At 37.4% G+C, this 12,430-nt stretch overlaps 1 protein-coding gene and 1 long non-coding RNA gene across 2 annotated transcripts in view; both read right to left on the bottom strand.

The window, feature by feature from the left end:
• PYDC2-AS1 (PYDC2 antisense RNA 1) overlaps nt 1–12,430 on the bottom strand; it is a 164,833-nt gene that overhangs the window by 123,295 nt on the left and 29,108 nt on the right. The gene's annotated exons all lie outside the window — the stretch shown is intronic.
• On the bottom strand, nt 5,606–5,899 carry PYDC2 (pyrin domain containing 2). Its single transcript, NM_001083308.1, has one exon. It carries the CDS (start codon nt 5,897–5,899, stop codon nt 5,606–5,608), a length of 294 nt encoding a protein of 97 aa, NP_001076777.1.

The following is a 12,430-nucleotide window of genomic DNA, read 5'->3' as shown; positions in this document are numbered from 1 at the left end:
TTTGGTATCAGGATGACATGATTGTATATCTAGAAAACCCCCTTGTCTCAGCCCAAAATCTCCTTAAGCTGATAAGCAACTTTAGCAAAGTCTCAGGACACAAAATCAATGTACAAAAATCAAAAGCATTCTTATACACCAATAACAGACAAACGGAGAGCCAAATCATGAGTGAACTCCCATTCACAATTGCTTCAAAGAGAATAAAATACTTAGGAATCCAACTTACAAGGGACGTGAAGGACCTCTTGAAGGAGAACTACAAACCACTGCTCAATGAAATAAAAGACGATACAAACAAATGGAAGAACATTCCACGCTCATGGGTAGGAAAAATCAATATCGTGAAAATGGCCATACTGCCCAAGGTAATTTATAGATTCAATGCCATCCCCATCAAGCTACCAATGACTTTCTTCACAGAATTGGAAAAAACTACTTTAAAGTTCATATGGAACCAAAAAAGAGCCCGCATTGTCAAGTTAATCCTAAGCCAAAAGAACAAAGCTGGAGGCATCACACTACCTGACTTCAAACTATACTACAAGACTACAGGAACCAAAACAGCATGGTACTGGTACCAAAACAGAGATGTAGATCAATGGAACAGAATAGAGCCCTGAGAAATAACGCCACCTATCTACACCTATCTGATCTTTGACAAACCTGAGAAAAACAAGCAATGGGGAAAGGATTTCCTATTTAATAAATGGTGCTGGGAAAACTGGCTAGCCATATGTAGAAAGCTGAAACTGGATCCCTTCCTTACACCTTATACAAAAATTAATTCAAGATGGATTAAAGACTTAAACGTTAGACCTAAAACCATAAAAACCCTAGAAGAAAACCTAGGCATTACCATTCAGGACATAGGCATGGGCAAGGACTTCATGTCTGAAACACCAAAAGCAATGGCAACAAAAGACAAAATTGACAAATGGGATCTAATTAAACTAAAGAGCTTCTGCACAGCAAAGGAAACTACCATCAGAGTGAATAGGCAACCTACAAAATGGGAGAAAATTTTTGCAACCTACTCATCTGACAAAGGGCTAATATCCAGAATCTACAATGAACTCAAACAAATTTACAGGAAAAAAACAAACAACCCCATCAAAAAGTGGGCAAAGGATATGAACAGACACTTCTCAAAAGAAGACATTTATGCAGCCAAAAGACACATGAAAAAATGCTCATCATCACTGGCCATCAGAGAAATGCAAATCAAAACCACAATGAGATACCATCTCACACCAGTTAGAATGGCAGTCATTAAAAAGTCAGGAAACAACAGATGCTGGAGAGGGTGTGGAGAAATAGGAACACTTTGACACTGTTGGTGGGACTGTAAACTAGTTCAACCATTGTGGAAGTCAGTGTGGCGATTCCTCAGGGATCTAGAACTAGAAATACCATTTGACCCAGCCATCCCATTACTGGGTATATACCCAAAGGACTATAAATCATGCTGCTATAAAGACACACGGACAAGTATGTTTATTGCAGCACTATTCACAATAGCAAAGACTTGGAACCAACCCAAATGTCCAACAATGATAGACTGGATTAAGAAAATGTGGCACATATACACCATGGAATACTATGCAGCCATAAAAAATGATGAGTTCATATCCTTTGTAGGGACATGGATGAAATTGGAAATCATCATTCTCAGTAAACTATCGCAAGGACAAAAAACCAAACACCGCATGTTCTCACTCATAGATGGGAATTGAACAATGAGAACACATGGACACAGCAAGGGGAACATCACACTCGGGACTGTTGTGGGGTGGGGGTAGGGGGGAGGGATAGCATTAGGAGATATACGTAATGCAAAATGGTGAGTTAATGGGTGCAGCACACCAGCATGGCACATGTATACATATGTAACTAACCTGCATATACTGCACATGTACCCTAAAACTTAAAGTATAATAATAATTAAAAAAAAAAAAGAAAAAAAATTCATGGGGATGGTTTCCAAATGCTGTTCTCATGATAGGGAGTGAGTTCTCAAAAGATCTGATGGTTTTATAAGGGATTTCCTCCCCCTTCATGCTGCACTTCTCTCTCCTGCCTCCCTGCAAAGAAGGACATGTTTGCTTCCCCTTCCACCATGATTGTAAGCTTCCTGAGGCCTCCCCAGCATGTGGAACTGTGAGTCAACTAAACCTCTTTCCTTTATAAATTACCCATTCTCAGATATGTCCTTATAGCAACATGAGAGCAGATTAATACAACCAGCATATTAAAAATATAACAGATAGGGTTTATTCCCTAATTGCAAAGATGCTTAATTCTCAGTGATTATAATATTATATTAATAAATCTAAGGAGAAATATTATTGGAGCTAATTTAAAATCTGTTCATAAAAAATACTAAATAAAAGATGAACTGATGGATAATAATATAAGTAAATGTACAACCGTAATCATGAGACATATATTTCAGCACAAAGCATAATGCTTTAAAGTGACACATTAAGAATTTGCACTAAACTCAGGACAAAGCAAATACTTGCTAGAGTCATTTTTACTTAATATTACACTAACCAACACTAAGAAGAAAAAGGAATTATAAGTAAGTCTAAAAATTGAAAATGAAGACATTGATGAAATTTGTAAATGGGATAATCATATTCCTTGAACATTTAAGCAACTAAAGTCAGAGAATTTAGTAATATAGCAAGGTATCAAATTATAAATCAAAAATCAGGCCGGGCAAGGTGGCTTGCACCTGTAATCTCAGCACTTTGGGAAGCCAAAGCTGGTAGATCACATGAAGTCAGGAGTTCGAGACAAATCTGGCCAATATAGTGAAACCCTATCTCTTCTAAAAATACAAAAATTAGCCAGGCATGGTGGCATATGCCCGTAGTCCCAGCTACTCGGGAGGCTGAGGCAGGAGAATCACTTGAATCTGGGAGGTGAAGGTTGCAGTAAGCTGTGATCACGCTACTGCACTCCAGCCTGGGCAACAGAGTGAGACTTCATCTCAAAAAAAAAAAAAAATCAAAATAATGCATATATACAGAAAATAAGCTAGAGGATAAAGTGAGGGAAAATACCTTTAAGACAGCAGCAAAATAAAGATAAAAATTTTTTGGAAAAACTTAAGTGTTTACATTTTATATAAGAGAAGTTTTAGAACACTGCTGAATGTCTCAAAAGAAGAAGTGAACAAATTAAAAGACGTCCCTTCTTATTGAATAGAAAAAAATCAACACTAGAAGGATGTAAATTTCCATCAAGTTTTTAATAATGTAAGGCAATATTAAAAAAATAACTAACATGCCTTTGTTTTTGAATTTTTGTGATGATGGTTTCTTATTTTGTTGTTTGTATATTTTTGTTTGTGCAATGAAACTAGAAAACTAATTTTGAAGTTCATAAATAAAACTAAACCAGCAAGGCTAGGCAGAAAAATCTCTTAAAAAGAAAAGCAATAAAGTAAAGAGCCTCTTTGCTGACAGATATTAAAACATATTACAGATGCTCCTCAACTTACAATAGGGTTATGTCCTGATAAATCCATCAAAAGTCAAAATATCATTAGTATAAAATGTGTTTAATACCTCAATAAGCCCACTGGAAAATAAAAGAAATCATACGTTGAAACATATTTAAGTCAGGAAACATCTGCATATAGCTTCTATATTTAAAGCATCTTGATATTGGTGCATGAAGAGACAGACCAATGATACACGTAGAAAGTCAAGAAATAATTAGCCAGGTGTGGTTGTGCACGCCTGTAATCCCAGCTACTTGGAAGGCTGAGGCAGGAGAATCACTTGAAACTGGGTGGTGGAGTTTGCAGTGAACCAGCATCATGCACTGCACTCCAGCCTGGGCAACAGAGCAAGACTCCGTCTAAAAGAAAGAAAGAAGAAAGAGAGAGAGAAAGGAAGAGAGAGAGACAGAGAGAGAGGGAGGGAGAGAGAGAGAGAGAGAGGGAGGGAGGGAGGGAGAGAGAGAGAAAAAGAAAGAAAGAAGAAAGAAAGAAAGAAAGAAAGAAAGAAAGAAAGAAAGAAAGAAAGAGAAAGAGAGAAAGAAAGAAAAAGAAAAAAGAGGGAGGGAGGGAGGGGAGAAAGCCAGATATATTAGGAAGTTTACTTTGTACATTTCAAATCTGTAGGGAAAAGATGAGATTGCAATAAAGGTTCTGGTATCCTTGGCTGGCTGCCTGAAAAGAAGAATGCTGGATACATACTTCATACCTTTGTTGGGAAAAAGTGGCTAAATAGATTACAGATTTAAAGGCAAATATTAAAATGTAACCATGAATGAATCAGGAGTAAAGATAGGAGAATTATTTTATTCCCTTGGACTAGGAAAGATCTTTCTATGAGTCTCATCTGGAAGCCATAAAAGTAGTGATAGATTAATGCATATACATAAAATTGTAGTCTTCTGCTGTGGGGAAAATCATAAGCAAAGTCAAAAAGAAAAGAAATTGCAACTCATATCCAGATAGTACTAATCTCTCAGACATAAAAGGAGTTCCTGGAATCAATGAGAAAAAGACAAAACAAAACAAAAATGGAATAAAAAAGGAAAATTGTCAAGAGTATGAATAAATAGTTCATTGAATGGAAATATTAACGGTCTTTAAACATATGAAAAGATGGTAAACATTCATTGTCTCATTTTTTGCATTTTTAACATTTATTGAGATATAATTCACATATCACACAACTCATTTAAAGAATACAATTAAATGTTTTTAGCTTATTCACAGATATGTACCATCATCACCATAGTTGATTTCAGAATATTCTCATCACCTCGAAAAGCAATCTTAAATGTTTTAGCTATTACTCCCTATTCCCCTCTACTCACCAACTCTCCTTCCCAGTCCTAAGCAACCTGTTATCTACTTCTGACTCTATAAATTTGGCCATTCTGAACTTTCCTATGAATGGAATCATATCATATGTGATGTGACCATATAATATTTTGTCTTTTATGACAGGCTTCTTTCATTTAGCATAGTGTTTTCAATGTTCATTCATGTTTAAGCATGTGATCAATACTTCATTTTTGTCGAATAATATTTCATTAGCTGCATATGCCACAATTTGTTTATTCATTTGTCCATTCACAGACATTAGGTTGTTTCCACCTTTTGGCTATTGTATACAATGACACTATAAACATTTGTGTTTATGTTTTTATTTCTCTTGATCATGTACTTATAAATATAATATTAGATCATATGAGAACTCTGTTTATCATTTGAGAAATTGCCATCCTGTTTTCCAAAGTGGCTGCACAATTTCACATTTCCATAAGCAGTATATGAGGATTCTAGTTTCTCCACATCTGTGCCAATACTTGTTATTATCTTTCTATTCTAGCCAGCCTAGTGGATATGAAGTGGTATCTCATCATAGTTTTGATTTGCATTTCCCTGAATACTAAAGTTGTCAGGCATCTTTTCTTTTAATGTTTGTGAATTATTTCACCTTTATTTATCTCAAAATACTGGTGATATAGATATTTCATATATAACAAGGTTAAGCAACATGTGCATGTAAAATGGAGGCAGAACCAAGGCTAAAGCAACATCTAGCTCAGCCATCAACTCACTATCCCTGAGGGGTTAAGGTGGGGGCATCACACAGTGTTCATCAGCTCTCCCAGACAGATGCGTTTGATTCATCTTTTCAAAGACCTGGATGGCTGCCATCCCTGCCCAGTAGCTGCAGGAGTGGCTGGTGAAGATTTCTACCAGTTGCTTCCCATTAGCCTTGTCTACCTCTGTCTGGGGGACGGTCTGTAGCTCCTTTCCCAGGGAGATTGTTCTGATCAGAGACTTGAACTTGCTCAACTCATCCTGGCTGAGCTGCTCCAGAAGAGCCTGCAGGTTGAAGTCCAGCTCTGCAGAAGATGCCATCTTGTCCTATGTGGGAGCTCTCCCAACGCCTGGCCCTATGCTCTGGTTCTCACATTTTTTCATATACTAATAAGTATATATTTTTATATCTTTTTAGAAGAAATATCAGTTCAGATTTTTGCTCATTATAAAATTGCGTTATTGTCTTTTTATTGCTGAGTTGTAAGAGTTCTTTATATAGTCTAGGGACAGGTCCTTCATTAGATACGCGATACGCAAATTTTTGCTCCCATTCTGTGAGTTGTCTTATCAGTTTAATGATGGTGTCCTTTAAGGTACAAATGTTTTTCATTTTGATGAAATCAAATTTATCTATTTTTTTCTTATTTTTTATGCTTTTGATGTCATGTCTAAGAATCTTTTGCCAAGTCTCAGGTCATAAAGATGTACCCCTATCATTTACTATAAGAATATTACAGCTTTAACTCTTACATTTGGGTATTTGATATATTTTGAGTTAATTTTTGTATGTGGCATGAAATAGAGGTCCAACTTTATTCTTCTGCATGTAGAAATCTACTTGCCTAAGCATCATTTGTTGAAAAGTCTATTCTTTCCCCATTGTACGGTCTTGAAACCCTTGTTGAAAGTCAGTTGACCACAGATGTACGGGCTTATTTTTGGACTCTCAGTTCTGTTTTATTGAGCAATGTGCCTATCCTTATGCCAGTACCACATTATCTTAATTACCATTAAGATGCTAAGTCATGAAATGAGGAAATACTAAATAAATTACTAAGTCATGAAATAAGGAAAGGTGAATTGTCTTTGTTTGCTCTTATTTTTCAATATCATCTTGGCTGTACTGGGTCTATGCGATACTACTTGAATTTTCTAACTAGTTTGCCCATTTCTACATAAAGTAAGCTGAGGTTCTGACAGGGATTGTATTGAATCTGTAGATCAGTTTGGGGAGTAGTGCCATCTTAACAATGTAAATTAAGCCTTCCAATCTATAAACACGAGATGCTTTCCACTTATTTAGCTCTTTAATTTCTCTCAATAATGTCTTGTAATTTTCAGAGCATAAGTTTTACTTCTTTGTTAAAATTTATTTCTAGGTATTTTATTCTTTTTGATATGATTCTAAAAGGAATTGTTTTAATTTCAGTTTTGGACTGTTCATTACAAGTGTGTAGAAGAAAAACTGATTTTTATGTATGATCTTGTATCCTGAAACCTGGATGAACTCATTTAATAGTTCTAACAGGTTTCGAGTGAATTTTTTAGGATTTCCTATATACAAGATTATGTTATCTGCTAATACAGACACTTTCACTTCCATTCCAATCCAGTTGCCTTTCTTATCTTGTCTAGTTGCTAGGGCTAGCACCACTAATGTAATGTTGTATGGTCATGCTAAGAGCAGATAGCATTGAGATGGTCCTGATTTTAGGACAAAAATCATTTTTCCATTAAATATAATTTTGGCTATGAGTTTTCATAGATAACTTTTATCAGATTGAGGAAGCTCCCTTCTATTTTCCAGTTGGGAGTATTTTTATCATGAAAGGAAGTTGGGTTTTGTCCAGTGCTTTTTCTGTGTTTATTGAGATAATCATGTAATTTTTGTTTTTATTCTACTGATATGATGAATTATATTAATTGATTTTCATATGTTCAAACCAACCTTGCCGTCCTGGGATAAATCCCACTTGGTCATTGTGTATAATTCTTTTTATAGGTCACTGTATTCAATTTGCTTGTATTTTTTGGAGTGCATGTTTCAGATTGAGTATAAATTTATATGAACCCTAGAGAAGGCAGTCCTGAAAAATATAAACGACAAGAGCATTTGCTCTTTGACCTGGCTTTTCCACCTCTAGTATTTGTCTTACAGGTGTGTCTGCTTGCATAGCATTATTTGTAAGAACAAAATACTCACTTAATGTCCTCAATAGATTCTTGGAAACTGCAACTTTGAATGAAATGATGTATAACAAAAACAATTTTATCATAGGCTAACTCATACAAGCAAGAGTTAAATTCCTATGGCATGCTGGTCACAAAAACATCACCGAAGTTCTAAATAAAAACCAAAACACTTCTAATATTAAACATAGAAATAAATGTGAGCCCTACATGCATTTTAAACAGATTAATAAAAATGAGTAAGATGATTTTTTATCCACTTATTCCAATTCAGGGTTGTGAGTGGCCTGAGGTTATGCGGCAGCTCAGGGTGCCAGGTGGAAACCAATCTTGAACAGGACGCCATCCTATCACAGGGTACACTCACGCAGACTGCGAGCATTTAGACACACCAATTAACCTAACATCTTTGGGATGTGGGAGGAAAGTAGAGTACAGAGAAAATCCATGCAGACATGGGTAGAACATGCTAACATGCAAAGTCCATATAGACAGTGGCCCCTGTTTGGAATTTTTTTTTCCTCATCAATGTTACACAAAATGATGTTGAAAAAAATGTTATTTGAGGATCTGTTGTATCTGTTGTATTTAGCAAGAGGCTAAATACAGGATGAGGAGTGGCTTACATAGTGATACATAAAAATGTCCATGATATATTCAGTTTAAAAAAAGGCACATGCTGGCTGGGTGCGGTGGCTTACACCTATAATCCCAGCACTTTGGGAGGCCGAGGCAGGCAGATCACCTGAGGTTGGGAGTTCGAGACCAGCCTGACCAACGTGGAGAAACCCCATCTCTACTAAAAATACAAAATTAGCTGGGCGTGGTGGTGCATGCCTGTAATCCCAGCTAATCGGGAGGCTGAGGCAGGAGTATCGCTTGAACCTGGGAGATGGAGGTTGCGGTGAGCCAGGATCACACCATTGCACTCCAGCCTGGGCAACAAGAGCAAAACTCCATCTCAAGAAAAAAACAAAAGAAAACAAGGCACATGTAACTCCTGTGAGAGAAATGGGAGGTGGGATATAAATTATATTTGTTTGAATTTTCATAAGGAAACTCTGGAAAGATATTTTAAAAATCAGTAAAAGTAGAAATTAGTACAGAACATGGTAGACACAGATGGGAATGGAAGGGAGGTGTTCACAGTGCTCGTTTGATAGTTATACATTTTGAACCACACAAATGTATTACTTGCATTAAATAATTCATATTTCAAAAAGAATCAAAACATAGAATTTTTACTAAGATAAAGTCATTGGGCAGGAAGCAGCTCTTGGTGTCATCAAGTTCAAACCTTTTTTGGTGGGCGACCAAGTCTCACTCTGTTGCCCAGGCTAGAGCGCAGTGGCACGATCTCAGCTCACTGCAAACTTCGCCTCCCAGATTCAAGCGATTCTCCTGCCTCGGCCTCCCAAGTAGCTGGGATTACAGGCACCTGCCACCACACCTGGATAATTTTTTGTATTTTTAGTAGAGATGGGGTTTAACCATGTTGATCAGGCTGGTCTCAAACTCCTGACCTCAGGTGGTCCACCCATCTCAGCCTCCCAAAGTCCTGGGATTACAGGCATGAGCCACCACGCCTGGCCAAGTTCAAATCTTTGAAGCGAATCTTTGAATTGAGAAACAAAGGTCAAGCTAGGAAAGAGGATTTACCTCAGGATACATGGCAAGTTCTTGGCAGAATTGGGATAAAGATTCACATGTTCCAATTCAAAATCAGGTCTCTTCCCACTTCTGCATATCTGCTTTTCACGTTAGGAAATCCTGTATTTGGCTTTTACTGTGTATTATGGGAAGGGAGCATCATGCTTAAAACTAATATACTCAGAGTCCTTTCTTCCCAGTCGTACCCTGGTTCGCCTGGAATATGTGTCCTACTTGGTAGCAGCCTCCACATTATTCTAATGAAGACACAGCAGTTCTACATGCCAGAAACCCTTTATTAAAAATTCACAAAAGTAGACCACAAATGTTCACATTCTGCAATGCTTTCTTCTTGCAACCACTTTAATGTTTTTCTCTCTTCTATGAGTATTTCTTTAGAAATACTCTCTGTGCATCTGTCCACCGTGATGGTACCACGAGCACTATAATCTGATTTATATTGTCAGTCACTTTGCAAAAATAGCCTATTGCTCCAGAGATAATGGGGATGGTGTCGAAGTTACTGATTACTAAATCAGAGATAACTATAGAGAACAAGACTTCATTCAGGCAAGTTAAAGCACTTTCTACATATGTTCCTTAATATATTGGCCATAGATCCTTCCCAAAATGTATTAAATGGGCATAATTTTTTATGCCTAGTCTCTCTTTGTGAATCTCCCCTCCCACCCATTCTCCCTCACCAAGTTTCAAAAATTACTTGCTGACTCCACCAGCTATTGTATTGGGCATGTGATTCAGATGTGACCAAAGAGAATATTCTACCCCCCTAATCAAAGTGTTTGGATCAGAGATCGGCACACAACTCAGGCTGGGACAATGAAAATGCATGGAACTTTGCTGGCACTATCAGGAAAAGCCTCACTTTCTGTGGGGTTTACTAAACTGAATGAGTACAAGTCTAGAGCTTCCAGTAGTCAACTCTGCTCCCACACCCAAAAAGACCAAATGAAAATCAACGGAAATCAAAGTCCAGGAGAAAGGCTGTCAAAGACCGTGGTTAAGCCCCTGAATCTAGTTACTCTTTGGTGGCTATTTAGGTTAGATTTGAGTTATTATTAACTATGAGATGTTGGTATATTTTCTCAGCTATAATGCTCTCCCAATTATATAGTGTATTTTTTATTCTATCCAATATAATATTCATGAAAATTGAAAGTTATTTATTTTGAGATGGAGTCTCACTCTGTCGCCCAGGCTGGAGTGCAGTGGCGTGATCTCGGCTCACTGCAAGCTCCGCCTATCAGGTTCACGCCATTCTCCTGCCTCAGCCTCCCGAGTAGCTGGGACTACAGGCACCCGCCACCACGCCCGGCTAATGTTTTGTATTTTTAGTAGAGACGGGGTTTCACCGTGTTAGCTAGGATCGTCTCCATCTCCTGACCTCGTGATCCGCCTGCCTCAGCCTGAAAGTTTATATTAAGTAAGCAGATATTTAGCATGGTATATTCCCTACTTTAATCCTAAATTCTCTGAAGCACTTAGAAGTTTTTCAATAGATGAATAGTATTCTACAGGAAAAAAAAAAAAAGTGAGCACTGGAAATAACAATGCTTATAATCCTTCCTACAAGTTATAAAGCACTGTCATAATGCTACCTTCACCCTCTTACCCCCATAACAAGCTTTTCAGGGGGACAGTGTGTTATAATTGCATTTTGAAAATGAACAAAGCAAAGTTTCAAAAGCCATAATTTATCCAAAATCACAGAGCTAAGGAAAGAAGGAATTGAATACAATCATCTCACATTTTTGTGTGCGTTTCCATTATGCCACAGGGACTTAGATAAGGACAAACAAAATGTGACTGTTAAACGGAAGCATTCAATCTAAATTGTAACTTTCATTTTCACTTGGGGCTATGAAATCATATGGCTTTCCCCTTTTACCTTAATCTTTCTGTTCCACTTTCCCTCTACCAGTCCTGTCCAGGAAAATCTGTGCTCACATTATACAGAGATACTGATTTTGCTCACTAATTTAAAAAACATAATTTTCAAAAAGTATTATTTGTAAAGAGTACAAGAGAAAACCTTTTTGTTCACAAAAAAATAAGTAAACAATCCTTACAGAGTGGCTTCAGGCTGCTTAAGATAATTTAATTTGACTAAAAAAAAACTGCAGTGTTGACACATTTGTAAGCCCTGGGAAATTATGCAAGACTATGCTGGATAAAGATGAAGAAAGTTATAAGCAAGAATAAGGCAGAGCCTTATACTGGAGAGGAAAAGGGGGATAGCATAGTAGATAGGGCGACATAGTGTGTTTCTCAGGATTTAGAATTAAAAACTACAGCATTTTTTTTTTTTATTTATAGAAAAAAATCTGCTTTGCTCAAAACATACCTGAGCTGGGAGTCAGGGTTGGAAGATGTGCAACCAAGAGTGAGATTCAGGGACTGTTGACGCAGACCACACTGTTTCTGCCAATGGAGACATGTACTGAAGCTGCATGGCGTCCTGGATGCCAAAATTTCTAACATCTCTGTCCCCCAAAGCCATACTCTTCAGCCATCAGGCTTGCCTGATCAAGCTCCCATGAGGGTGATTGCTTCCTCACATTCTCTCTTGTGAATCAAAGTTTTCTAAGGATGTTTCTGGCTGGGAATATCCAGGTCACATGCCTCTCTCCCTGCTCCAAAATAGGCTGGGAGGACAAATTTCTGGATTCTGCATTGAGAGTAGGGACACAATAAAATTGAGGGAAATCTTCAAACATAGAAAAGATGTTAAAAAGCTTCTGACATTGTCTAAGCTTACGCCTGTTTACCAGATACATTAGAGGAAATACAAAGGAGTATGAAGGTTTTATTAGGAATATTACTTTTTTAAATAGGGAAGAGTCTTCTGCTGGAAGAAGCAGCAGAGAGAGTTGGAGATAATGGCTTTTGAGAAAGACTATTTTAAGAAGACATGAGGCAGAAAAGGCATACTCCAAGCTCCCCATTATTCTAATCCTTCACAGTAGGCTCACACTTCCCTTAGCTCTC

Source organism: Homo sapiens, chromosome 3, assembly GCF_000001405.40.
Source record: "Homo sapiens chromosome 3, GRCh38.p14 Primary Assembly".
Lineage (NCBI taxonomy): Eukaryota > Metazoa > Chordata > Mammalia > Primates > Hominidae > Homo > Homo sapiens.
Note: the sequence above shows the minus strand (reverse complement) of the source record. Positions and strands in the feature narration are given on the sequence as shown.